Genomic DNA, 27,882 nt, shown 5'->3' with positions numbered 1-27,882 from the left:
CTAGCACCATTTACTAAAAAGAGTACTCTTTTCTACTAATTGCTCCAATATCTTTGTTATAAATTAGACTACTATAAATGTGTAAGTTACTTTCCGGAATTTATAGTTTGTAACTCTGGTCTACTTTTCCGTAATTATGTCAATACCACACTGTTTTAATTACTGCAATTTTATTATATATTAATATTTGGTAATATAAGTCCTCTGACTTCATTGTTCTTCCCCAGTATGATATTTTCTAACATAGGTCCTTTCCTTTTTATAAAATTTTATTTATTTATTTATTTTTATTTATTTTGAGATGGAGTCTTGCTCTCCAAGCAAGGCTGGAGTGCAGTGGCATGATTTCAACTCAGTGGAATCTTCACCTCCCAGGTTCAAGTGATTCTCCCACCTCAGTCTCTCATGTAGCTGGGATTACCAGTGTGCACCACCACACGTGGGTAATTTTTGTATTTTTAGTAGAGACGGGGTTTCACCATGTTGCCCAGGCTGGTCTCAAACTCCTGACCTCAAGTGATCCACCTGCCTCAGCCTCCCAAAGTGCTGGGATTACAGGTATGAGCCACCACTCCTGGCCTGTAATTTTACATTTATATACATTTTATAATTAGCTTATCAATTATCAAACAAATGCTAGGATTTTAGTGAGATTACATTAAATTGATGACTCATTCTGAGGAAAATGAACACTTTAACACTGTGGAATTTTCCAAGTTACAGTATGTACCTCCATTTGTTTCACTGATATTTAATTTCTTTCAGCAATGTTTTGCAGTTTTTAGTATAGAGGTATTTGACTTCTTTTGTTAAATAGTTTGTAGATAACTGACTTATTTTTAATGTTATTTAAAAGTATTTTTGAAATTTCCATTTCTGGGATATAATGTTTTGTTTCCATTATATAAAATTTCAACTATTTTACATAAAAATTATATCCAGTTAACTCTTTAATTTAAATTATTAAGTACAATATGTAATTTGTATATTTTCTGTTTACAAAATTATGCCTGAAATTAATAGATTTTTTTCTGTCTCTTCCAATATTATGCCTTCTATCCTTTTTTCATGCCTATTGTACAGAATAAGTCCTCTTATACAAGATTGCACAGGTTGATGGCAGACATTTTTGTCTTGTTCCCAAACTCAAGGAAAAAATTATTAAGCACATTCTTAGCTGTAGGCAATATTTTTAATAAGATTTTTAAAGTTTCCTTCTACACTCTAGTTTTCTGAGAATTTACCATGAATCAGTATTGAGTTTTATGAAATATTTTTCTCATAATTCTGAGATCATGTGTTTTTGTTTTCCTTTATTCCATTGAAGTGGCAAATTACATAGACTGAATTTTCAATGTTAAACCAACTTTGTGTTCATGAAATATAACTCTTGATTATGATATATTAAACTCTGTATTTATTGATAAGGTAGATTTGCTAATATTTTGTTTAGGATATTGGGTCTATGCTCACAGAGAGTTTGGCTTGTAATTTCCCTTTATTCAATTTTGGTTTCAAGTTTGTATTGGCTTCATAAAACAAATTGTAAAGTATTTTTTACATTTGTATACTCTGAAGTGAATTTTGTAAGATTGGTATTAAATGTTTCTAAATATTTATAAGAATTTACAGTGAAGCTATTTGGAGCTAGAGATTCTGTGAGACGGTCTTAAATTACAAACTATTTATTTGATTGGTCTAAAACTCTGAAAATTTTCTATTTTTATCTCATGTCTGTTTTGATAAATTGGATTTGTTTACATGTCAACTTTATTTAAATTGTTAAATGTATTGACATAAAATTTGTTCAAATATTCTCTCATTGTTTTAATGATTAATTTAGGGTATTGTTTCTTTTATGTTTCTGATATTTCTTATTTATTTTTACCATTTTATTTTTCCTAATTAGTTTTGTTCAATGTTTGTTATTTTAATAATTTTTGTTAAAAAAAACAAAACTCTGGTCTTTGAAAATTGTGAGGAGAGCAATGTCAGCAGTGTGATTAAATAAGAGAAAATGTGGCACATATACATCATGGAATACTATGCAGCCAGAAAAAATGATGAGTTCATGTCCTTTGTGGGGACATGGATGAAGCTGGAAACCATCATTCTCAGCAAACTATCGCAAAGACAAAAAAACCAAACACTGCATGTTCTCACTCATAGGTGGGAATTGAACAATGAGAACATATGGACACAGGAAGCAGAACATCACACACTGGGGACTGTTGTGGGGTTGGGGGAGAGGGGAGGGATAGCATTAGGAGGTATACCTAATGCTAAATGACGAGTTAATGGGTGCAGCACACCAACATGGCACATGTATACATATGTAACAAACCTACACATTGTGCACATGTACCCTAAAGCTTAAAGTATAATAATAATAATTAAAAAAAAAGAGGTTCTTGTCCTCATCCCCTCTACAGAAACACCAATTTAAAAACAAAGTATGGATGAGAACTTCTTCATAGGAATTCTGGAATCCAGTTGGAAGTTTATAGTTCCTGGGTGGAGTTCAGAAATAGGAAAAAAAAAATGCATTAGGAGCATAAAAACAGTTTCACTTTACTCACATCATTCCTCTCCCAAGACTGCTTAGTGTAGCTCTGAGAGTAATTCCTTTGGCATGAAAATTTTTCCATGGTGAAAAGAAAGAGTAAATGAGCATCCAGACTCACTGCAGACCCAAGGGCTGGGCCTGCCCACTCATACATTTTAGCAGCAGGCTCTGCCAAAGGTCCCACCACTTGGCCCACCCTGAATCTCTAGACTAAGTGACTAGTGAAGGGCTTTCCCTGGCAGGGCCAGTTTGTAAAAACTAAAAGAGGTGTCTACTTCTTCAAATTCACAGACACCAATACAAGGCTCCAAAGATCACAAACAATCCAGGAAACATGGCACCATCAAATGAACCAAATAGCACTCCAGTAACTGATACTAAAGAAATTGAAATCTATGAACTACCTGATGAAGAATCCAAAATAATCATCTTAAAGAATCTCAATGAATATAAGATATTGCAGATAAAATACAATAAGAAAAACAATACATGAATAAAATTTTTAAAATTTTAAAAATTCTTCAAAGAGATATAAATTATAAAAACAACAAACCAAAAATTCTGGAACTGAGAAACACAAAGTCTGAACTAAAAAGTTCAAAAGAGAGCTTCAATAGCAGACTTGATCAAGCAGAAGAAATAATCAGCAAACCCAAAGACAAGTTAGTTGAAATTACTCAGCCAGAGGAATAAAAGAAAGAAAGAATAAAAAGAATGAAGAAAACTTACAGAACTTACAGAACACTATCAAGGAAAACAATATAAGTTTTAGAAAGAGAAGAGAGAGAGAAAAGAAAGGAAAGCTTATGTAAAGAAATAACGACCGAAAACTTCTCAAACCTGAGGAGGGAAATAGACATCCAAATTTATAAACCCTTAAAGACCCCAAATAAATTGAATCTAAAGAGAGTTATACAAAGACATGTTACAACTAAATTATCCAAAGTCAAATAAAAGAGCATTTTGAAATCAGCAAGAGAAAAGGGACTTGTCACATAGAAAGGGGCCTTAATTGCAGTATCAGTGCATTTCCTGCAGAAACCTAGCAGGCCAGAAAAAAAATGGGATAAAGTATTCAGAGAGCTAAAAGAGAAACTACGAACCACGAATACTACCTCTGGAAAAACTGTCCTTTACAAATGAAGGAGAGATAAAGACTTTCCCAGACAAAGACTGAAGAATGTTGTTATGACTAGAACTACCTTATAAGAGGTTCTAAAGGGCATCATCACTTTGAAGCAAAAGAATGCTCAACAGCAACATGAAAGCAGAAAGTGTAAAGCTCATTGGTAGAGGTAAATACATAGACAAATATAGAAAAATGGAATGCTATAATAGTGTGTCAATCACTTTTAACCACAGCATAAAATTAAAAGACAAAATTATTAAAAATCAGTTTAACTTCAAAAATTGGCTAATGAATACACAACATAAAAATAAGTAAACTCTGACATCAAAGAAATAGTATGTGTGTGGGTGGGAGGAAGAGTGTAGAGTTTTTGTGTGCAATTGAAGTTCAGTTGTCATCAGCTCAAAATAGAATGTTGTAACTATAAAAATTTTTAAGCAAGACTAAAGGCTAAAGGAGCCTAGCATAAGATTGGAAGTCCAATACTGGGACATAATTTTGGGATAATAAGTTTAATACTGAGGTAGACATAATTATCTATGAAAACCGTTCCTGCATTAGGAACTAGATTAGCGAGATATTACTATCTCTTGAGATGAACATTATGTGTCAAACCCTGGAGAACAGCTCTTCAACACAATGTAGCAATGAGATCTAATGTTAATAGTAGATCACTGATCCTCTCTCTGTTTATGTGGGCCTGTGGGTAGACACCTATTGTCCTCCATTTTAACTGAAACCTACACCCCAGGTGTTTGAAAAAAAAATCAAAGCAGGAGGAGGGAATAGAAATTATATACTACACTTGGAACAAAAAAATGCACGTGTTTGATTGAATTGTTACAGGAAATAAAAACTATATATTCCTAGGCATCCCCTATGAGTCTGGCACATTTAAAAATTCTGAGGCTATAATAATGAATAAAAACAGACACAGTTTCTACTTTGATGGAGTCAAATAGTCTAGTGATGACTGTATTTTGCAGTCCAATGATACATTTCTAAAGAAGAAGCCAAAGACATTATGCCTAAGAGAATTCTCTCACCATTGCCCGTTCACAATAACAGTTTGCTTCATACACACTGTCTTTTTATTAACGGATGCATCATCGTGAAGTATTTCTGAAGCCATTTTAAGCAACAATTAGCGATTCAAACCTGATTTAGAATTCAATCACATGTAGTGTTTCCAATGAAAATAACACAAATGGGGTGAAAATCAGATGAACAGACAGTGTCGGCCCCAGGCTACAAAGAGCAATGAACACTATAAACTATTTCATACTGACTTCCTTGCCTAGAAGCAGACAAGTTTCTTCTGACACTATGAAGTTTTCCCCTGCTTATAGACTATTCAAAATCTGAGACTATGTGCATATTGAAGTCAAGGAAGCACATTACCTGCATCTTCTTAATATTTTCCTGAACTGAACTTATTGAGGTCTTCTCTAAATATAGAAATAGGAACCTCTTATTTCTCATTTGCTTGTTTTTGGAGAGGATCCTAGATTGTTTTCTGAGCATATATTATCCCCTTTGTACTGAGAAAATGCAGAATGCTGTTTATCAATGGTGAAAAAAATATTATTTTTGTTGATTTCCTGAAAATTATCCTCAATTTTCCTCTTAGAACAATCCAAGATGGCCAAAAGTCACGTGCCTAGACTGCATGCATTTGACACTTTAAAATATTTTGTCTTTACGGAACTCCTCTTATTTTGTTGTTGTTGGAATATAGTTTTTTGTTTGTTTTAGGAGATTTTTTTAAACTTTTATCTTATTTTATTTTTTAAAGCCAGAATTTATTTATATTTAAAAATGTTCAAGAGACCTTTAAAAGGCCCAATGATCCCCATATTTCTGGTTTCATATAAGATTTTAGGAGATGCTTTTAAAAATAAGCCTTAACAAATACACTATTGTATTAGCGGAAGAGAGCTGGACATATTAAATGAATACATGAGGAAGGTTCTCTCTAGTCTCAGCATCATGAACACTTCCTTCCCTAGAGCAACGGATGTGTCTTTGTCATTTGGATATTGGTAATGTCCTAACTATCGTATTTTGTTCTTTACTTTGCTAGGGCATTTAGAGTAAAAGCATTATGAAATTGGATTTGGATCTGGATCTTAGGGCATTTGTATTGGGTACTGATCTTTTCCTTGGTTTCATTTAACTTCCCTAACGTTTTTTCTCTTCCTTTTCAATTTCTCACTCATTTTCACATTCCTATAATTTTCACATTTTTGTATGTTGCTTAAAATCCTTTGATGAATGAGAAAAGAACACAGGAACAGAAATATATATAGATAAATAAGTAGCCAATTACCCAGCTATATTTTCTCTGTTTAAATGATTTTTGATGGGACGTCTTCATTGAAGTACCTGGCTGCTTTGAAAACAGGTGGTAAAGAATAAAATCATCTACGCGGTCCTGGGAGACAATGAGGAGCGACTCGGCTAGCAAATGACAGTTCCCTGTACATTCAGCATGAACGACGGCCCAGCCACTGCGATCAAAAACGGAGGAAGAGGAAAAGCAGCATGAGGCAGATCTGAGCCTCCAAATAACACACAGAACGGTTTTATTGGAATGAAAAAGAAATTGGATCTAAGCTCTTTGAATGGGAATGCCTGTTGGGATGCTGGTGCTTCTGTTGAGTGGTGGCAGTGTGGTAATACAGTTATTTAACATTTGAACTCTGAGCTCTTGATGCTGAGAAGAACCAAGAGGAGAGAGCGCTGAGAGAGGCACCCCGGGCAGCAGGGGGACGGGGCATTGCGAGCAAGAGCAAGGCTGGAAACCACACTAGATTGCACTTTGTTACAAAGCCAACAGAGAACAAACCATCACCTCTTTTAAAAATGTTGTAACTTACATTTCAAAATGAACTTAATTATTTAAATTTATATTTAAAAAATCAATTGAAGTTCTACTGTATTGCTGAAAAGCATGTAAATATTGACTAAATCATCTTCTTCACATACTAAAGAAATAGAATCAAGTATGAAACATAATTGCACACGCACACATACATACCTCACACGTTTTTATCTCCTTATAAAAATTTAATCATTGTCTTCAGAAAATTATTGGCAAATCACAGATATTGGAGAATGGTTTTACATTAAGAAAGAAAAGATAGTTAATAAGATTAACTTCCTTTATTGTAATTATGCAAAGCTAAGTGTTTTGTGCGATTTTTAAATATTTAAAGGTATCAGTGGAATCATGTTTTGTTGTTTTCAAAGCACATGATAGATGAACTCCTTCGTGCATCTCCATTTAACTGCCTTACACGATTAGCCAATATGCTCCAGTCCTTCTCTAAACTTTAGTCTGGACACGCAAAACGCAGGCTGGCATCAGCAGCCATGGGCCCACCCCAACTCCCAGGCACACTTGACCCCACCACTGGGGTTTCAGACTGACTGGGTGACATTTAGTATTTTCAGCCCCAATATTCATTATGCCGGTTATTTACATGATTTAATAGTGAAAGTTTTATTGAAATAATATTATATAAACCTTTAAAAAGGAGTAAAAAAAGTGTTTTATATCTACGAAAACATAGTTTATTCTTCTATAAACACTTGATAACTGAGCATTTTTAATTGGTTCACTAAAAAAGTATTGAGTGTGCTAAAAATTGTAAAAGACTTACAAATTTGCATTAAAACCTAGAAGAACCTGCTCTGTGATTGCTCTGCCAGCATCTTCATATTTTAATTCCACCATAAGTAAACTCAACTTCTGAACTGTAGATGATGCCCTATGGGGTTATTTATGCAAATAAACATACTGATCCCGTACTTAAAAATAGAAAAAAAAATTAGCTCTACAACTAAGGTTGAAAGAATAATACACATGCATTTGTTTTAAATTAAGAATTTTTAATTTTATATTTTAGTCACCCATTGTAATTCATGTCATTTTTACCTACAAACAAGTCACAATTTTGAAAGATAAAAAGGCTTTCAGTGTACATTACTGACTAATATAGCCTTCTTTCACAATAAAAATATTCTTTCATATTCAAAAATATAAATTTTTGAAGTGTGCTATTCACAAAAACATATCCAGATATGTGTTTTCTTCACATTTAGAAACTGTCCTTCTCAATTAAAATGGATTGTAAGTTTTCTATGGGTTTAGCTGGTTGAAATAGATATACACAGCTCAGCATAAATACGGCGGAAGCAACCTAATAATTGTGGAAGTGTTAAAAAGCATTCAGAGAAGCAAGCAGGAGTTGGTTTTCATGATGATGGGAATACAAAATGTTGCACACACTCTAGAAAATAGATTGGAAGTTTCTTAAAAAACTAAACATAGAGCCACTCACTATATGACCCAGCTCTGCAGTCCTGGGCTTCTATCCCAGAGTAGTGGAAACGTGTTCACACAGAAACCTATATATGACTGTTCAGAGAAGACTTATGCATAACAAGCCTAAGCTGGAAACAACCCAGGTGTCCTTCTGCAGTCGAATGTCAATAATTAACAAATTGTGACACACCCATACCATGAAATTGTGCGCAACAATCCACATGAATGGACTATGGATACCTACAACAACTTGGGCAGATCTCAAGGGCATTATACTGAGTGAAAAAAGCCAGTCACAAAAGAGAACATGCTGTACAATTTTATTTGTATAACGTCCTCAAAATTACAAGTCTTTAGAGATGGGAGTGGATTAGCAGCTGCCAAGGGTTGGGGAAGCCAGGAGAGAAGGAGTTGGGTGGGACAATGAAGTGGGTGCTTGCAGAAACCTGTGAAGGATCTTCTGTATCTTCTAGAGTAGTTCAGAGATCAATAGCTTTCTCTGTCATTCTACCTGATGAATATCAAAATCTTTCTTTAGTTTTTGTTTTTTTGTTTTGTTTTGTTTTTTGAGATGGAGTTTCGCTCTTGTTGCCCAGACTGGAGTGCGGTGGCACAATCTCGGCTCACTGCAACCTCTCTCTCTCGGGTTCAAGCAATTCTCATGCCTCAGCCTCCCTAGTAGCTGGAATTACAGGTGCACACCACCACGGCCAGCTAATTTTTGTAGTTTTAGTAGAGACAGGGTTTCATCACGTCGGTCAGGCTGGTCTCGAACTCCTGACCTCAGGTGATCCAACCACCTCAGCCTCCCAAAGTGCTGGGATTACAGGTGTGAGCCACCGCAACTGGCACAAAAATCTGTCTTTAGTTTTTAATTTACCTAAGTAAAATTTACCTGTTAAATCCAGAATAATTCTCCCGTATGAACAGAATTTGCTGCACTTAATTATTTCTCAGAGAACTGAGAGGTAATTTTAAACTGAGTTGGGCTTGGAAAACTCCAGAAATTAATTTTGAGCATAAATTTTGCAATATGTATACAATGCATCTGATCACAGAAATGATAATATCTGTGGGTTGAATGAATGAGTAATAAAGTAAATTGGGAGTATCCCTGGCATTGGGGTGTTCAGGGGACCACGAACGACACAACTGGTGCTGAAGGGAAGGTCTCACCCAGGGACGCCTCTAGAGGTAGCACTCACTGTAGATGGGGAGCAGGCTATGGGTGGTCTAGATGGATTCCCTAACAACTTCACTAGCAACCAATCCCCAAGTTGAAGGGCTTATATCCATCCTTTGAATAATTACAACGTTTGTTTTTCCTGGATCAAAATAGCATTGGTTTAAAAATGGCTAGCAGACAGAAGACTGCTGGAAGTTAGAAGGCTTAACATGTTTTGCCTTGAGTCAATTATAAGTCATAGTATTGTCGTCCACCAGTCACCATCACATCAACAGAGCCAGTTGGTTTTGCAGTGCACCATGGTCCTTGTCACACAGTGAATTCCCACCAAAGGTTGTGGAGTTGAAGTCTATCCCCAAATGGGGCTCTGTTCTGGGAGGCTCTAGGTGATGCAGCCAAGAGGAAATTCATTGAGGAAGCTCTAAAGAGTTGGTTTGGCCTTAGCCTTACCCTAGTCAGGAAAACCCCACCATTGTCTCAGATTTACCTAGTCAGGAAAATTCCACTATTGTCCCTGATATTGAAATTAATCTTTTTCTAAATTTTTTTTTTTTTTTTTTGCTACAAAAGGGTTCTTAAATGATTCTGGATTAAATCAGAATCTTGAGTTCACCCTGAATTAGACTCAAGCCCAGAAGACTTGGCAACTAGTCCGGAATCTGCTGTGGATCACATAGAATTTGTTTCTTGGGAAACTGTAATGCATTGGGCGTTGTTTCCCAAGCACACATGCCCACCTGCAAACTGTGAGTGTGGCCTTACTTGAAAAAATGTCTTTGCAGATGCAACCAAGTTATGATGAGGTTCTATGGATTAGGGTGGTTCCTCATACAGTGACTGATGTCCTTATAGTTTAGACACAGCGACCCAGAGGCACCGAAGGAAGAAGGCCACGTGAAGACGGAGGGAGAGATGGGAATGACCTGTTTACAAGCCGAGCAGCACCAGCGCCTGCAGGCAGAGACCAGAGGCTGGAAGACAGGCAGGGAACGGTTCTCCCCCGAGTGCCCTGGGGAGGAACCAATGCTGCCAACAGCTTGATCTTGGACTCTGGTTTCCAGAACTGGAGAAAACCCATTTCTGTTGTTTTTACCACCCTGTTTGTAGGAACTTGTTACTGCAGCCCAGGAAATTCATCTAGAAACAAATGGCTTTTCAAGTTTGCACTCTGCATCTTTTCTTTCTCTCTCTCTCTTTTCTTTTTTGACTTTGGCTTGGCCACTGAGGTGTTAAGTCAAAGCTGTGGGAAGATTTTAGACACTGGACACTTTTCCCCATTCTCCGATACTCCCCCAAATGTCCCTCTCAGCCCAGCTGCTTGATCCTGGAGTTACGTGTCATGAGGCAGCTCCTGCAGGTCCCTGTGCTACCCGGGGCACTCTGGTCTCAAGGCCGGAGCCCCTGGACATTTACGTTACCCCCATGTCCCACCTTGCCTAGCAATCCCAGTTTTACCTCTGACTTCAGTGAAATGACTAATGACACCTACTCCCTCTCAGACACATCCTCCTCTGGCAGGTCACCCTGTGGGTTCTGGTCTCACCTCTGCCACTGCGTGGGTTGGCACGGTCACTGAAACTCCTTCAGCCGCAGCAGCCTCATCTAGATAGTGGAGCCATAATGTTTGTTCCTAATACGGCATCTGTTGAGCTAAGACACCTGTAAAAAGAATTTAAAAAGCCAAGGGCTCTTCAGGTATGACAAAGTGGTTGTGGGTGGAGTCATTAATGTTGATCTCTTTCTTTACGGAGCCTCAGACCAGAGATTTCAAGAGCATGTCTAATGTTCTGCCTGACTGTGATTTTGGAGGGAACACTTACTTACACAAATGTCTGACTTGGGGATGGCACTGTCCTTTTTCTTACAGGACTCTTCAGTATATGGAGAACAGTGATTCCCTGGTCATATAATAAAAAGATCAATACAAGACGGGAAGAGAGTAGAACAAATACTTGAATAGATATTTAGTGATTCATGAGATTATTCAAAGGATTTTCTAAATAATACTCTTCATCAGGCCTTCCAGATTCCTACCTGGAAGAGGGAACGTATGAACTACAAAAAAAAAAAAAAAACTTCTTAACACACCTGCAGCCGCTCTTCTAGGACACACCCCCCAGTTATCTCAAGCACAGTCAGGCAGAGCGCTTTCTGCCTGTCACAAATGTTAGTTTCTTCCTCTTTAATTTCTCCTAAGAGCATAAAAAGTGGATACTTCTTATCATTAACAGATTTTCATACACTTGTCTTTCTCACTTTTTTTTTTTTTGAGACAGAGTCTCGCTCTGTCACCCAAGCTGGAATGCAATGGTGTGATCTCTGCACACTGCAACTGCCGTCTCCTGGGTTAAAGTGATTCCCCTGCCTCAGCCTCCCAAGTAGCTGGGATTACAGGTGCGTGCCACCACACTCAGCTAATTTTTGTATTTTTAGTAGAGACGGGGTTCCATCATGTTGGCCAGGCTGGTCTCGAACTACTGACCTCAGGTGATCCAACAGCCTTGGCCTCCCAAAGTGCTGGGATTACAGGTGTGAGCCACTGTGCCCAGCTGTTTCTCACATTTTATGTGTTTTTTTCTTTCATAAGTTCTCAGGAAAGCCACTTGTTTAAGAACTTTGGCCACCTTCAGAGCTTCTGTGCATCAGGAGAACCTGTGTGCTTATTACAATGCCAATTTCCAGTTTCCCAAATCTGCTGAGTAAGAGCCCAGGTGCCCGTGTTGGGAACACAGTGGTTCCCATGCATCCGGGAAGGGAGGAGAGCACATATGCTCTAACTGGACGCTTATCTGCTGTTGCTCCTTTTTTTCTTTTACAAACCCTTCTTCTTATCTACTATTGATTGGATTTTACAGTCCTGTTCCAGAAGCTCTTCCTAAACTTTTTACACGGAGAAATTGTATCTCAGGCATCTGACTGACCACACAGCCGCTGACTGAGGACCCAGCTGTGAGTCACCTGCCCACCCAGGTGACCTGACTCCCTCCTCCTGAGAGGTGCCCAGTACGGCGACTCCGTCCCCTCCGGCTGCGGCGGATTCGGGGCCATGACAGAATCCTAAGTTCAAGCCCCCTGGGGTGATTTGCGATGGGGGACGCCGGCGGCACAGAGCACGCAAGATGAGTGCTCAGGGTCTGGCTGAGAAGCTATTTGTGTAGCTGGGCACATTGGAGTAATTAAGGAAGTGGGTCACAGTCAGTGCAGTTTCAGGTAGGTCAGCAGGAGCCAAGAGTGTGAGATTTTCAGCAAAGAGTTTAAAATATGCACAACTAAACCCAGCAGCAATCATCCTGAAGTAACTGCTCTGTGATTCCCGTGTGTCGCTCGAGCTGCTGGTCACTGACCCAGGCTGTCCCGGCCCCCTGGATCCCCTGCATTGAGCTTCAGGCTCAGACCCCAGTAGCAGCGCGGACAGCCATGCCCAGGTCCCCTCCTCCACCAGGTGCCGGCCACCTCGTGTCTCTCCGTCTGAGTGTTCAAGGCAAAATCACAGAAAGGCAGGCAGGAAGGAAGACCAGGCTGGAGAGGAGCTTCCAGGCAGGTCCAGCGGAGTGGGTGGTCACACAATGGGGATGAAAATTGGGGGATTTAAAGAGAAGCCACAGAAGGTGGTTGAATTTCACAAGTTTGGTGTTTCCTCTCGCATATACATCTCAGTTTCCTCCCTCATTCAGAGCTCGCAGTGTGGGCAGCAAACGCCGTGGAGGCGTCCGTCTTTTCAGAAACCCTCACCTTAGACATTCCATTCCCGGTGCTTTTTTCAAATTCTGGCCGAAAGCTTAGAAAAACGCTGGTCACTTTCTCTTCATTCCCGAGCTACGTGGCTGCTCATTGTAATGTTGGGTAACTGGCAGGAAGGCTGCTGGGGGAATGGGCAGGACAGAGGTGTCCTCCCCCCACCCCCCCACCCACCCCAAACTCAATGCACTTCTCTCACCTGACTCCAGAAATTGTGGCGCGCTGGATAGCGCACTCCTGTTCCCGCGCTCCCACAGTGTGTGGCCAGGGTGCCCTCGGGTTTTTCAAGCCTCAGGAAACAGGGACTGCTACAAACAGACAAAGACAGGAAGGGAGATGGGAAACATTTTTTCAGCATTAATTGCTTAGATTCAGATTTAGTGAGACCTATTAAAAATAAAAGATTCAAATATGGCTTTCTGAGACTGAGTTTCTCTTTTTTCCTTCTTTTATTGCAGTCACATTTTTTAAAGTACTTTATGATAGATTTTAAAAACTGCCCAATTATATATTTATCCAATAGTCCTTAATTATAGACTACCAAGTAATTACATAATTATGGACTTCTAGAAATGCTTAGTATTTACTCCGTAGTCCGTAAGGAGCTGTTATGGACTATTGTGCAATTGTATAATTAGGGATGTTATAAAGTGCATGTTATTTATTCAATAGTAGTTTGAGCCATTATAGTCTGTCATGTCAAGCTCTCCTCAAAGAATATTCTGGTTCCTGAACCACCCGTCTGCTGGAAAACAGGGGCGTCCTTGGAATCACCATTGTCCTGGGCCCTGGTGGGGAATATGCAACCACAGTAAGTGTTTGTAAATGGAACCCACAAAAACAGGACTATTAGTATGAACATGATTCATCTTTAAGAACAGGCCGGGCGCGGTGGCTCACGCCTGTAATCCCAGCACTTTGGGAGGCCGAGGCGGGTGGATCATGAGGTCAGGAGATCGAGACCATCCTGGCTAACAAGGTGAAACCCCGTCTCTACTAAAAATACAAAAAATTAGCCGGGCGCGGTGGCGGGCGCCTGTAGTCCCAGCTACTCGGGAGGCTGAGGCAGGAGAATGGCGTGAACCCGGGAAGCGGAGCTTGCAGTGAGCCGAGATTGCGCCACTGCAGTCCGCAGTCCGGCCTGGGCGACAGAGCGAGACTCCGTCTCAAAAAAAAAAAAAAAAAAAAAAAAAAAAAGAACATTTTGGGCTATAACCCATATTTTTATCCCAAAGTCATTTAGTTGAACTATCTGAGAAGAAATATATTTTATTTTTAAGGTAATATACGTGTTGCTCCAAGAAAGGGTTAAGATGAAGCGCTGAAAACAGAAGCCACTGTTGTTAGGATGGTAACTGAACACAACCACTGATGAGTGTAAACCTATTTAAAAAATAAACTCCTTCATGGCTGTCCAGGAATTTTGGTTGAACTTAGGGGGCTGAAGTGGTAGACATGTCCTATAATTGGAAGTCATTTTAAAGAAAATTTTTAAATACAGAAATGCTGCTCGTCATATACAAAGCGATCTGGTCCTAGGTTAGTGGATGTTGCATTTTACATCATTTCTGTAGCAAAGACGACATGCCCTCAGAAGACCAGCCACAGGCGAAAGGGAAGGATTTACTTAGTGGAAACCTTTTGTTTCCAAAAAGGCTGGTGAGGTCCTAGGATTTGCTACAGGTCATTCTATCTGGAGAGGTCCCAGGACTTGCTACAGGTCATTCTATCTGCAAGTGGGTTACTGGGATGACAAGGTACCTACCCATCTCTCTCCATCAGTCGTCACTTACACTGGCCTCCCGCCAGTGTGATTTTCATTTGTCCAGGTCTGGTTGCCTGTGTCTCTGTGCTAAGTGCTGGCATCATCTCATGGAAGACTGTGGTTAGGAGACATTCTGCAAGCATGAGGATTCAACTAAGTTAAAACCTACACCACACCAGGACAGCATTTCCCCAACACCCACCATTGTCTAAATTCAGTGGCTTTGGGGGGAAGAAAGAGAATTCCCCACCCCCAACACACACACACACACACACACGCACATACACACATGTGCACACGTGCACACACGTACACACACGTATGCAAACATACACACAAATGCACACACGTATACACACATGCACACACACATACACACATACACACACAGATACACACATACACACAAACACACACACAAATCCGTAATTCTCCTTTTATTCTTTTAGGACCTCAGACCATAGAGGAAAAAGTGTCTGGTACCAAATTAAAATATTGTATTGTGGAGTTTTAAAAAGTGAGTCAGGTTTTTCCTCAGATAAATCAAGTAGTTTCTTACCATCTTTCCACTTGCTTTGTGAGACATGTCCTCGAGATGACCCCCCACCCCCGCCATGAAAGGAAGATTTTCATTCTGAAATAAGACAAGAGCAATAATAAAATTGTATTTTGAATTGCTAGAGAGCAATGTGCTGAAAGAACATGACTCTCATGCAGTAAATATACTTCCTAACCACGGGGCTCATCAGAACTTTTGATGTTTAAAAGGTGCAATGAAAACAGATTGCAAGAACATCCTTGTTTTGTAAAATGAGGCGTGGCACACCATTGAAAGTGTCCCTGGAGTGCTTCACCTGCTGCACCGCCATGGCTTACAGGTGAGGAAGCAAGTCCACGTCGGGTGCAGGCACCAGGTCCTCACCTTCAACAGCTGATATGTGCACAATGATTTCGCCGCGATTTGGACGTGGTTGCAGGCAGCAGAATAGAAAAATAGAAAAGAAAACAAAAATGCGGATTAGATTTTGGTTCACCTCAGGACGTCAGAGAAAGCATCTTCACTAGCCACCATGTTAGGTCAATCGATGGAAGTGATTAAAGGGGCAAAGTCTGGAGTTTTTAATGAACAAAAACTCACAACAGCTTGTCAGTAACTGCATTTTAGCAAAGGCTTCATACCATGATTCTGATTTCAAGTGGATGCAAATGGGAGTGATCCGGGGATCCCACACCCATTTTCTCCTTCAGCTTTCATGGTGTCCAGAAGTTGTTCAGTCTACGGTGGATCCGGTGGCAAGAGATGAATGAGATGACGCCGCCCTGAGTGGTTTTGTGCAAGGAGGCAGTGCGCTTCCGAGGTTTCATTCATTCGCTGGGGAATAAAATTCCACTTTCAAGAAGTACCACTGTAAGCCACAAATGGAGTTTTCTTGTGGTCCATATTTCATGCAAATTTCTGCAGAAACCAAAATCGTGTCTCCTTCAGAAGGAAGTGCAGGGTGGTTTGCATAAATCTTTCTTCTCAAGTGCACTCACAATGTTCTGTGTGAAACCTCATTCTAGGTGATCCCGTGACCCTGGGGAATTGGTTCATAGAATTCACCACTTATTAAAAAGTGAAATGAAAGAAATGGAGAAAAGAAACATCTTGCTTTACGCTTTCAGTGGTCTACAGTATTAATAGTATGAGGATCATTATCTTTTTTTATTCCATAATGGCCATGATACAAAATTATACCAGACACAAAATTCTTCTCCACAATGATGTCTAACTGGCTATTAAAAATTCATGTGATCCTGAAACATTTTATTTCTCAGGAACAGAAAGTACAAACATGATTCAGTAAGAACCCAGATACATGCTTTAAGCTGAACAGCTCAGACCACAGTGGAGGGCGGAGGGCATTTTGCCCCTGCTTAATGGCCCCGAGTTCCCACTCTGTAGTGGGCACTTTGCCAAGTCCAGGGAACTTAGAAGAATCAAAACACTTCTTCTCTCAAGGAATGTACAGTTTAGGGAAGAGGCAAAAATAAGTAAATATTCCAATAAGTATTGGGGGAAGGGGCACAGAGAGCCAAAAAAGACCACAGGAAAAGGGATGTCTAGGATGTGTGGCGGGGTCACGGAGGGACCCAGAAGACAGAGCGTTTCAGAGCAGGTATGATGGCGTGGCTTGTTAGTGAATGCCAACAGAGCATTGGTGGTGTTTGCTTGGAATATCTTCACTGATTCAATACAATTTGTTTTGACGATGTTAAAATCTAAAAGCTTGCAAGCCCCAGTGTCAACGGTGTGTGGTCAGGCAAATATACATTTACAAAACGTCAGCAAATGCATTCTAAGATATTTAGGAGAGACGTATAATTCAATGAATTGGTAAAATCGAGGCCTATCCATGGAGACACAGAGGGCGACTTTGGCTCTCCCCTTTAATAGGTAGGAGTGCAGCTGACTGCCGACATGGGGCGACAGGCTGACGAGAACTGCACACAAGGATCTGCAATTCAAACCCACCCAGACCCCAAATTAAAATGCGCGTTCACCTGCTGGTGGACTAGATATGAGCCTACACGGTCGCTGGGACTAATATTCCTAATAAAGCATCCTTTTTAACAAAACTGAAAATCAATAACAAGAGAAGTTTCAAAATTGACACTAGCCTTTTGAGAAACTGGAAATAGATCTTCCTGTCAAAGACTAACACTGCTCTCCTCTGTCTAGACGGCACTGGGAGCAAAATTATCAGATTTTCATTTCCTCAATTTCACTCCACAGTGGTAGAACGTGCGAGTATTGATTCATCTGCTGAAACAAAAAGCAGAAGGGCTCTTCACCACAGCAGGGTCAGACGGGTTTGTGGGTGTCTAATTATACCTAGAGAGAGCGTATAAATCTTCCCCAGTCATTACGGGAGTGCACGAGTCCACAGGCATCATTAGAATCCATTTAACCCACTCCTCATCCTCCTTGTGTTTTATGGGAGGTCATAGATCCTAGAGTGAATATTATCATGCTTCACGGATTTTCAAATTTGTATCGGAAATAAGATTTGCTGCATGAGAAGACTGGCATGCTTCTCTGTTTGCACAAGCAAAGCTATAAACATGCATCCCAGCTGTCTCTCTACGTGTGCAAAGTACGGATGGTCAGGGCCTAAGTCCACGTCTTTTCTCCACCTTGGGCCCACGGTAAAGATTTGATTTTCAGGCTATCATTTCACTCCAGCACATACAATATTTGCATCCCAGGGAACATATTTAATTTTTCAAATGCTATCATCATGTTATGCACATTTATTATTCCACCAGAAAAACGGTAGGTTTTATGAAAAGAATTTCATGTCTATATAAATTATCATGATACGTATTAAAGTTGTAATTTCCATATCAATAGAGTATTTGTTTACAGTTGGACTGTAGTTTTTGGTTACTATGCCAACTTCAAGTGAATTGCACTAAATAGTATATTACTTTCATATTTTAAACAAGAATAAAATGTATATTTTAAAAATAGATGAAAACAATACATCTTACCAAGATAAAGAAATATAATAAACTTCTTACATCAAAAGCACTAGGGTTTGGCTGACAGCATTAGGGAAGTATCAGAGCTCATAATTATCAAAGGAGCCAACTGGTAAGACTCAAGTTTAATTTTCTTTATTGTTAAAAGCTAAAGGCAATGCATGGGAGATTTTATTCTTAGTGTTTCTCTCTCACACCCAGTGTGACTGTGGGACTGTGTATTGCAGACCATTTTGCAACCTGCTTTGTTTGCTCATGGACATTTTTCCAAGTCAGCAAATGTGGATTTACATCATTCTTTTTAATAGCTGAGCACTATGGATGTCCTCTAATTTATTTAACAGATTTCCTTTGATGAACATTTAGGTCGATTCCAATTTCCTCTAATATAAATAATGTTGTAATGAACATCATTGTGCTTATATCTTTTTTTGACTTATCTAATTCTTTCCATTAGACATAGCAGAGTCAAACTTGAATGTTAAAGAAGGTCAACTTATTTTAAATTTTGATCATTTTAATACGTTTTGTCAAATCATCCAGAAGCTATCAGTGTTCATTCCCATTCTGACAAATATGGGAAAGGTTATCATGTTTTTTTTTTTTTTTTTTTTTTTGGTCGGGGGGTCTTTTCTTCTAGGAAAACTAAGGGCAAACAAAATTTCAAGGTCATTTTAATTTGTAATCATTTGCTAATGAAGTCAAATGTCTTTCATACTTTGCTGGTCATTTATATTTCTTCTTCTGTGAATTATCTATAAATTTGACTTTCACATGCTATGAAATTAGATTGTTGATCTCTGTTTATTAATATCAACAGCTTTTTGGTTGTCTGATTTATATATTGCTGTTTACATTACAATCTTCTCTGACACCAAATGTGTTTTAGTATGAAAAGTGATGCAGAGTTGCAGCTTTATGTTTCACACCATCATTGATCGACCAGTATTTTTTCCTGATGATTTCAGATGCAATTATTTCATCTAGGAAGTTTCTCTTTCTGCTTCAGCCTGTATCTGAGCACGTTGCTTTCTCCACACTGTCACACCGTCTTCATTACTGACACCATCATCATTATTATTCACACCATCATCACATCAGCCTCCTATGAACATTCACACCCGGAAGTGAGCATTGTCCCTTTATGTGCCCTTCCTTTGTCCTTCTTGAGGAAACATAATGGATTCATGGACTTGGCTTCAACTTCCTGATTGGACTCTTACTAGTTGCATGACCTTGACAAGTTACTTAACCCTTATAACTTCCACTTCTTAGTCCCTACAGTGGACATAATAACTGTGGCTACCCCACAGGGCCGCATTTCCCTGAAGACGGATTGACCTGGAAAGTGAAAGGCACAGTGGCGGGCCAGTGCACAGCCAGCTCTTCCAGGGGTCAGAGACATTGCATCTCCCGGTTCTTCAAACACGTTTCTTCCAGGAAAATTTCAGAAGCAGTTTTATAAAGTTTCTAAGTTAATTCATTGTGAATGAGTTGGAATTTTCTTTGGTAGGATGTTAAGGATATTAATTCATATAGGAATAATTAAAAACTGAGGTCCTTTTCACATTAAGCCTTCCTAGCCAAAAATAAGGTATTCATTTTATTGATTCAATATTTATTTTACATACTTTAAAATTGTGTTCATTTTTCCATATAAAATATGTTTCTGGTGGTTTTTACTTGTGCGTGTTTTTCCCTATGTAATACTGTATATACAATATGTATTACATAAACACAATTATATAATCTCTTTGTGTAATATTATATGCTGACTCTTTACTATCCTTCTGTCTGTTTTTGTATATAACTTTTATTGCCTGTCCATTTTTGACACCATCACTACTGAACTCATGTATATAAATATGTTTGTGTGTGGCATCATACACACATATGATTTCCTACTGGTAATCAAGTATTTTCTTCTACATATATTTGAAAAAGTATCTGATGATTTTCTATTGAAAATATCTGAAAAATTACCTAATGATTCTCTTTTAGTAATATTTATGACCTTAGTACTTTTAAAGGATTTCATTGGCCAGCACCTCCACAAGAAAGTTAAAATAGTAAAAGAAGGGGGAAAACTCATTTTGCTTCTGAGGCCAATAGAACTGCTTTTTGTTTCTTCTAAGCATGTTTATTGTGTTTTACATAAAACTGATTTTCTCTGCCACTTTTACTTCGCTCACTTAGTGTTACTCCTCCACTGTCTCTTTTCCCCCTCTCCATCTACATATACTGCTCCTAGAAGTCTGGGGCCCCGGGGGGTCCCTGGATGGTGCTCTCCACGGCCCAGGCCTCACTGTCAGGGGAGAAGAGAGCAGGAGTAAACACCTGTCTCGTTTCCCCCATTTCAAAGGATGTTGCCTATTTGCAAACCAATTATGTAATAAATATTTCTACCCAGAACAAGATATTTGTCAAAGATGGGTCATTCCATAGTTTCAGAATGGATACTTTTAGATTTACACATTTTAACATCCTTTTGTTTATTTTAGCCGTTTTTGTGGTGAAATCATTTATATAAATAAGCATCGTAACACTATGTTTTGGTTAAAGTGTAGACATTATTTTTAGTCGTAGAGAGAACAAACATTATTTTAAGAAATAAAAGAAAAATAATTTGTTTCCACAGTGTAGTATAGTGGTTACAGATGCAGAGTTTGGATTCAGAGAGCCAGGATTAAAACTCCTAATTTACCTAGAACCCTATAACTGGTATTTAACCACTTAATCTTCACTTTCTTTTTGATAAAATTGTGATTATGATAATGACCCCATAAGTTTTAGGGAGGTGTCAGGAAATAATATGCTTACAGTATATTATAAATTGAGTGATAAATGTGAGCTTTCCATTATTACAATAAAATACTATTATAAAGTTTCAGGATTTTGTAGGATGAGTTCTTTTGCCTTGCTCCTTACTCTTAAATTTGTGTACAAAGCAGAAATACAGATAGGTTACAGATACATAGTGAGGCTGACAGGGCTTGGGTGAATGGATTGTGTGATTTTCATAGTAACTTCCATAAATATGATTTCTTATAACTAAATACTTAATGAAAATTAGTTCACATCAATGGCAAGGCTGCTGTCTCTGGCAAGAGTAAGAACTGCTTCTGGTTACAGGAGGGTCTGATGCCTTGACAGTGACCAGGCTTGAGATACACGTGTGAGTGACTGCTCCGTGGAGATGGGCTGAGGGTGTGTCCATGGCCAAGGCCTTCCCCTTTCTTAGACAATAGCTCGGGGCTTGTGACAACATGGTATGTTTGATCATGTCCCATGGGCCTGCAGGCTCCAGAGGCCCTCTCAGGCCTGACGTGTGGAAGCCCCGGTGGCAGGAGGAAAACGAAGGAGAGCAAAGCATCAGTGTGAGGCTTCCAGACACAGAGTCACGGTCCACAGAGCAGGCCAGGAGCTGCACCCAGCCAAGGCAGAGGGTCTCCTGCTACACCAAACAAGTTAACCAGGACCCAGAGTCAGCTGACACCATGAAAAGCAGCCAATACACCACGTAAAAGCTCCATTGCACCAAGAACCAAGAAAATCACAACTTGAAAGAAAAAAGAGATTCAGCTGATGCCAACACTGAGATGCACAAACGCTGGGCTCGTGTGGTGAGCCGACAGAAGAATGACAAGCAGCAATGATGCAGCTGCCTCGAGTTCAGGGCAGCACGTCGATGCCAGCAGGCTGGGACAGCTACACACGGATACCAGAGAAACCGCCGGGAAAGCTAAGTGAGAAGATGAACTCACAAGCACTATAAATCCGTAAATTAGGAACCCCAGATAGCATTCACGTAATCCGGAGAAAGGAAAAAATGTAATAAAATAACATAAAAAGGAGAAACAGGGGAATACATAACATATCACAATATGGCAGACTTTAGCCCTAAAATACAAATGATTACTGTACATATAACTGGTTGAAATACACCAATCAAAAGCAGAATTTGGCACAGTGTACAAAAAAACATGACCCCAAAATATGCTGTTTATAATAAACTCACTGAAAATTTAACGACATAAGTACATTGAAGGAAAATAATAGAAAAAGATAATTTTAAAAAAAAGGAGTGTGTATATAAAGATCTGATACAGTAGACTTCAGAGAAAGGGAAATTACATAAGACATTGCAAAGACATAGCAGTCCTTTTTTGTATACACCAAACAATAGAATCTAAACACACATAAAGCTAAAACCTGTAGAACTAGAAAGGAGAAAGAGACAAATCCACAGTTTTAGTTGGGGAACTTAATAAGCCCCTCTCAGCAACTGAGAGAACGGCAGGCGAGGACAGCATCCAGGACACAGAAGACGTGAACAACATGACCAACCAACAGGACCTGATCCAAATACACAGAACTCTCCATGTGACCCACATACACAGACATAAACTACAGACGGAGAGACACTCTACAACAGCCCAATCATTATTCAAGAAATTAAATTCATATTTTAAAAGCTCCTGGAAGAGAAATCCCCAGGCTCAGATGATTTCACTGGACAATTCTATCAACCACTTATAGAAGTAACATATGGAATACAATCTGTTCCAAAAATTCAAGAAGGGAGAACAATTCCCAACTCATTTTATGAAGCTGGTATTACACTGAGGCCAAATCCAGAAAAATACAGTACAAAAAAACCTCCTACAAACCAATAGCTGTCTGTCATGAATTTAGCTGCAAACTCCTCATCAAAATATTCGCAAGCTAAATTCAACAGCAAGACAAAAAGAAAAAGAAAAACTTATGTAACACGACAAAATAGATTTTATTTCAGATATGCCAGGCTAGTGGAATATTCAATAATCAATAAATTGATTATTATCAATAATTGATCATAAAAGTATTTTTATCATAACACACCATAAAAAGAGGCAAAAGAAAAAAGTCATATGATCATAATTATATCAATCAATGCAGAAATAAAGGATTTTTTGCATCAATTTTGTTTTGACCAAACCTAACATGCTAAAAAGAGCCCTCAGTGAGATCGGACTAGAAGAGAATTACCTCAACTTGGGAAGCTGGGAAAAACCTACAGCTAACCTCCTATTTAATAAGGAAAGGCTTATTGTTTTACATCTAAGATTAGAACAAGTTTTTCCACAAAATGGCATATTATTGTCTATTTTATGCATATACGTTCATAATAACAAATCAAAAAACATGCAATGATATTTTTATCATATCATTGAAAGTTAGAAAACATAATAGACAACTAAATTTAATTATTATTCAGTAAAATAATTGTTTTCAACAAAATAAAAATTTTCATATAACCATTTTTCATTAGCAGTAAGCCAATTAAACAAACTTTCTTGAAATATTGTCCTTCTTAGGTAGTTTCTTAATAAGTGTTGAGAAACTTTGCTGAAAAAATGTGTTCAAAGAGATTTTTATCAAAAATTAAATAGATAAGATGAAAGACTGAACGTATTCAAAAAACTTAAAAGAAGGCAGAAAGACAGGGAGAGAAGAATGAAAAGTAGAGAGGACAAAGATAAAAAATGATAATTGACTTGGATGCAAACATGTCAATGTTTACATTAAATGGAAATGTTCTAAACACATCAACTAAATGTACAGAAATTGTCATATTGACAATTCAGTACATCTGGAATTTTTAATAATCTAACTCCACGCTGTTTATAATAAACCCACCTTTAAAGTATAATTTATTTTAGTAATAAAAATAAACGGATGAAAAGAAGATACACCATGCAAACATGTATCAGAAGAAAACTGGGGTTACTCTATTAATTTCAGAAAAAGCAAACTTCAGGACAAAGAAGAAAAGAGGCAGATTTTACAATGTGGTGGCAGTCTCCGTTCACCAAGAAGATATAGCCATCCTAAATATGTATGTGCCTAACAGAAGAGACTCAAATACATGAAGTAAACATTTATGGAGCTAAAGAAGAATTAGAATACAAGGAGAATTACAAGTCCATAATTACAACTGGAGACATTAATAGGTCTTTCTCGGAAATCAATAGAACAAGTAGACAGAAAATCAGGATGAATACTAGAAAATCACCATTAACTAACTGGACCCACTCGATTTTAGTAGAACACTCCAACCACCAACAGCAGAACACATGTTCTTTCCAAATGCACATAGAACATTCACCAGGACAGATCATATTCTGGATCATAGAACAAACCTTCACAAACTACAAATTATTGAAATTATTTCAAGTGTATTCTCTGATCATAGTAAAATTAAACTAGATATTAATATGAGAATGATAACTAGAAAATACACAAATATTTGGAAATTAAACAATGTATTTCTAAATAACTCATAGGTTGAAGTGGAGAAAAAATTGTAAAATATTTTGAACTAAGTGGGAAAAAATTAAAAGAAAGAATGGTTTGCAGCTAAAGCAGGGATTTAAGGGAACTTTATATCATTGGACGCCTAGATTCGAAAGGAAGTTATCAAATCCATACTACAAGCTTCCACCTTATGATACTACACAAAGTGAGTGAAATAAACCCAAAACAAGCAGAAGAAAGCAAAGAATACAGATAAGAGCAAAAATCAATGAAATTGAAAATAAAAAGTTATTAGAAAAAATCAATGTAACTTAAAGTTGATTTTTGAAAAGATTTATAAAATGACAAAGTTTTAGACAACTGTACAAATAAAATGATAAGAAAGAAAATAATGACAAATTAAACTCTGCATTAAAATTTTCTAAAGTTTGACAGTGTTGGGAGACTGTCATGGATCTCGATTCTGCATATCTTGTAAGCAGAGGTACCTTTCAGCCAACAGCTTTGGAATGTAGTACATTGCTCCCTGCAGAGCAAAAGGCAGATAGGATTACTTCCTAATATGATAAAAACAATGTCTTCCTCTGAGAGGAAGAGAGGGTCTCCTAGCTTACTACTATAAAAAATATTCTAGTTTGTTAAGGTGGAGTTCCTCAGACACAAACCCACTTGTGCATGAGTACCCACCTACACCCCAGTAATCACCCCTGTGTGATTGGGGGAACAAGGGAGCTGGCGTGGACACAAGCTCTTGCTGCTTGCTGAGTCGTGAGTAATAAAGTCCTTTGTAATAAAAGTCCTTTGTCTCTGACTTATGAGTTGCTTTCCAATATCTGTCAACTGGCAGGCTAACTAGTTAGCATGTTAAGAAGAAAAGCTTGCATATCTTCGTAGTTCTTGACAATTACAATGTCGGGCAAGGAACTTGAATATCCACAATATATAAAGAATACTCAAAATTCAACAATAAGAAAAAGATCAATCAGACACTTCAGCAAAGAAGATATACAGTTGGCAAATAAGCCTGTGAAAACCATATTAACACATGAACACGTGCTTACCATATTAGCCATTAAGAGATTCAAACTAAAATCATAATGAGGTACACTACTCACTTGTTAGAAGGACAACAGTTAAAAGAACACCAAAAATCAAATCTGGCACTTGCAAGCAGAGGCAGGTCTGACCTTCCCTAATAAGACAGGATCATAAAAAATGACTGTGCAAGTTGGAACTAAGCCAAGCAGTCTTACTCATCGGAGAAAATTAAGATTGTTTAGTGACCTGTAAATATTTTTTCTCAAAATCTTAAAAACTTAGTGTTGTATTGGTGTTGGTACTAAATGCATCAAAACATGAAAAAAACGAAGCTAATATTTATGCAGAACACTACAATTTAAAACAGGACATTGACAACTACAATGTTTGGCTTCTTGGTAAAAAGGGTGTTAAAAGTACTTTGAACAGGACTTGCCCCTTCTTTTTGTAAAATTACGAAACAGAGCTGGCTTCTCTTCCATGCTGAGATGAATTGCCAAGCTCCGCTCTAGGTTTGATCAGCCTCAAACGTTTATCGTTTGCTTTCCGTGACATGCCATTTCTCTGAGAGGTCCTTGCTGTGACGTGTTCGCTGGTGCCCCTTCCTTGGAGATGTGTTCATTATTTTTGTCCCCATCAGTGACCTTGCCGTCCCAGGGCTCCTCTGCCTGCAAGTCTGTGACGCTTCCGATGACAGCAATGCCACATCTCCGTGGCTGGCCCTTCTATTTTCTGTAACTCCACTTACCTCCTATTGAAATTGCACTTTGAATATTATTTCATTTCAAAAGTTGTACTTGTAACTTTTTTGGCCAGTTTTCTCTTTCTCTTATTTGTTTTTGCAAAGCTTCAGGTGTGTACCCCTGGGAGACAGGGAGCCAGCATGGCCAGATGCTCTGCTGTCTGGGAACCAAATGGGAGATCTGCAGGGACCCGTCACCAACAGGTTCCCAAGATGCGCTGTGATGGGAGGCTGACCACGAAGCCCACCTGTTATTCACCAGTGATTTGTGGACAGATGATTCCGGAGCAAAGTTGTCCTTTTTAGAATGCTCACAATTAATACACCGTGGTAGGTGAAATAGAAACCATGTCGTTGGAGGACTGGTGCTATTTAATTAAGCCACGGTAGCCAAAGTAAAGCAAGAACCATCACTGTTGATGAGGATGTGAAGAATTTGGAACTCTCAAGAGTCGCGTGTGGAAATGCAGAATGGCACAGTCACTCTGCAAAGCAGTAAGGTGGTTTCTTTTTTTTTTTTGAGACGGAGTCTCGCTCTGTCACCCAGGCTGGAGTGCAGTGGCGGGATCTCGGCTCACTGCAAGCTCCGCCTCCCGGGTTCACGCCATTCTCCTGCCACAGCCTCCCGAGTAGCTGGGACTACAGGCACCCGCCACCACGCCTGGCTAATTTTTTTGTATTTTTAGTAGAGACGGGGTTTCAATGTGTTAGCCAGGATGGTCTCGATCTCCTGACCTCGTGATCTGCCCACCTCAGCCTCCCAAAGTGCTGGGATTACAGGCGTGAGCCACCGCGCCCGGGCCAGCAGTGGGGTGGTTTCTTACAAAATCAAGCATGTACTTCCCTTGTGACCCATCCATACCACTCCTAGATATTTGTCCTAAATAAATGTTCACAACAATATTCACAAACATGTTTATAGCATCTTTGTTTCTAATTGCAAAACACTGGAAACAACACAAATTTTCTTAAATAGATGAATACATACCCAGTGCAACACTAACCAGCCAAAAAAATAAAAAGAAACTGTTGATGCACACAGCAGCATGGATGGATGTTGAGTGTCAAGAGCATCATGCTGGAGAGAATGGAATGGAGGTTACCAGGACTGGGAACAGTGGTGTTTACCAGGGCTGGGGGCAGTGGAGGTTTCTAGGGCTGGGCGACGGTGGTGGTTATTAGGGCTGGGGGAAAGTGGTGTTTACCAGGGCTGGGTACAGTGGTGGTTAATAGGTCTGGGGACAGTGGTGATCACCAGGGCTGGGGGCAGTGGTGGTTATCGGGTCTGGGGGCCGTTGTGGTTACCAGGGCGGGGGGCCGGTGGTGGTTACCACGGATGGGGATGGTGGCGGTTACCAGGGCTGGGGGGGCAGTGGTGATTACCAGGGCTGGGGACAAAGGTGTTTACCAGGGTTGGGGACAGGAGTTTGGGGAGGTGTAGGTCAGAGGATACCAACTCTAGTTAGATAGGAGGGTACTCCCAGGGACAGGTATGTGAAGCTTTGCAAAAATAGATAAGTGAAAGAGAAAATTGGCCTAAAACGATAGAAACATAGCTTGTGAAAT

The 27,882-nt window shown here is 39.0% G+C and overlaps 2 annotated features.

Moving 5' to 3' along the window:
• Positions 9,911–11,110: an enhancer, noted in NCBI's record as "CDK7 strongly-dependent group 2 enhancer chr18:75936086-75937285 (GRCh37/hg19 assembly coordinates)". NCBI's record gives its function as "activates an origin of replication core promoter dependent on BRD2, BRD4, P300/CBP, MED14 and CDK7 cofactors, with strong dependence on CDK7, by STARR-seq in HCT116 cells {active_cell/tissue: HCT116}" and the evidence as "EXISTENCE:reporter gene assay evidence [ECO:0000049][PMID:35650434]".
• Positions 11,915–12,415: an enhancer, noted in NCBI's record as "H3K4me1 hESC enhancer chr18:75934781-75935281 (GRCh37/hg19 assembly coordinates)". NCBI's record gives its function as "activates a minimal SCP1, AML or CMV promoter by ChIP-STARR-seq in primed H9 embryonic stem cells {active_cell/tissue: H9 hESC(primed)}" and the evidence as "EXISTENCE:reporter gene assay evidence [ECO:0000049][PMID:30033119]".

The sequence above is a fragment of the Homo sapiens genome, chromosome 18 (genome assembly GCF_000001405.40).
Source record: "Homo sapiens chromosome 18, GRCh38.p14 Primary Assembly".
Lineage (NCBI taxonomy): Eukaryota > Metazoa > Chordata > Mammalia > Primates > Hominidae > Homo > Homo sapiens.
The sequence above is the reverse complement of the archived record's forward strand: the minus strand, read 5'-3'. Positions and strand labels throughout refer to the sequence as shown.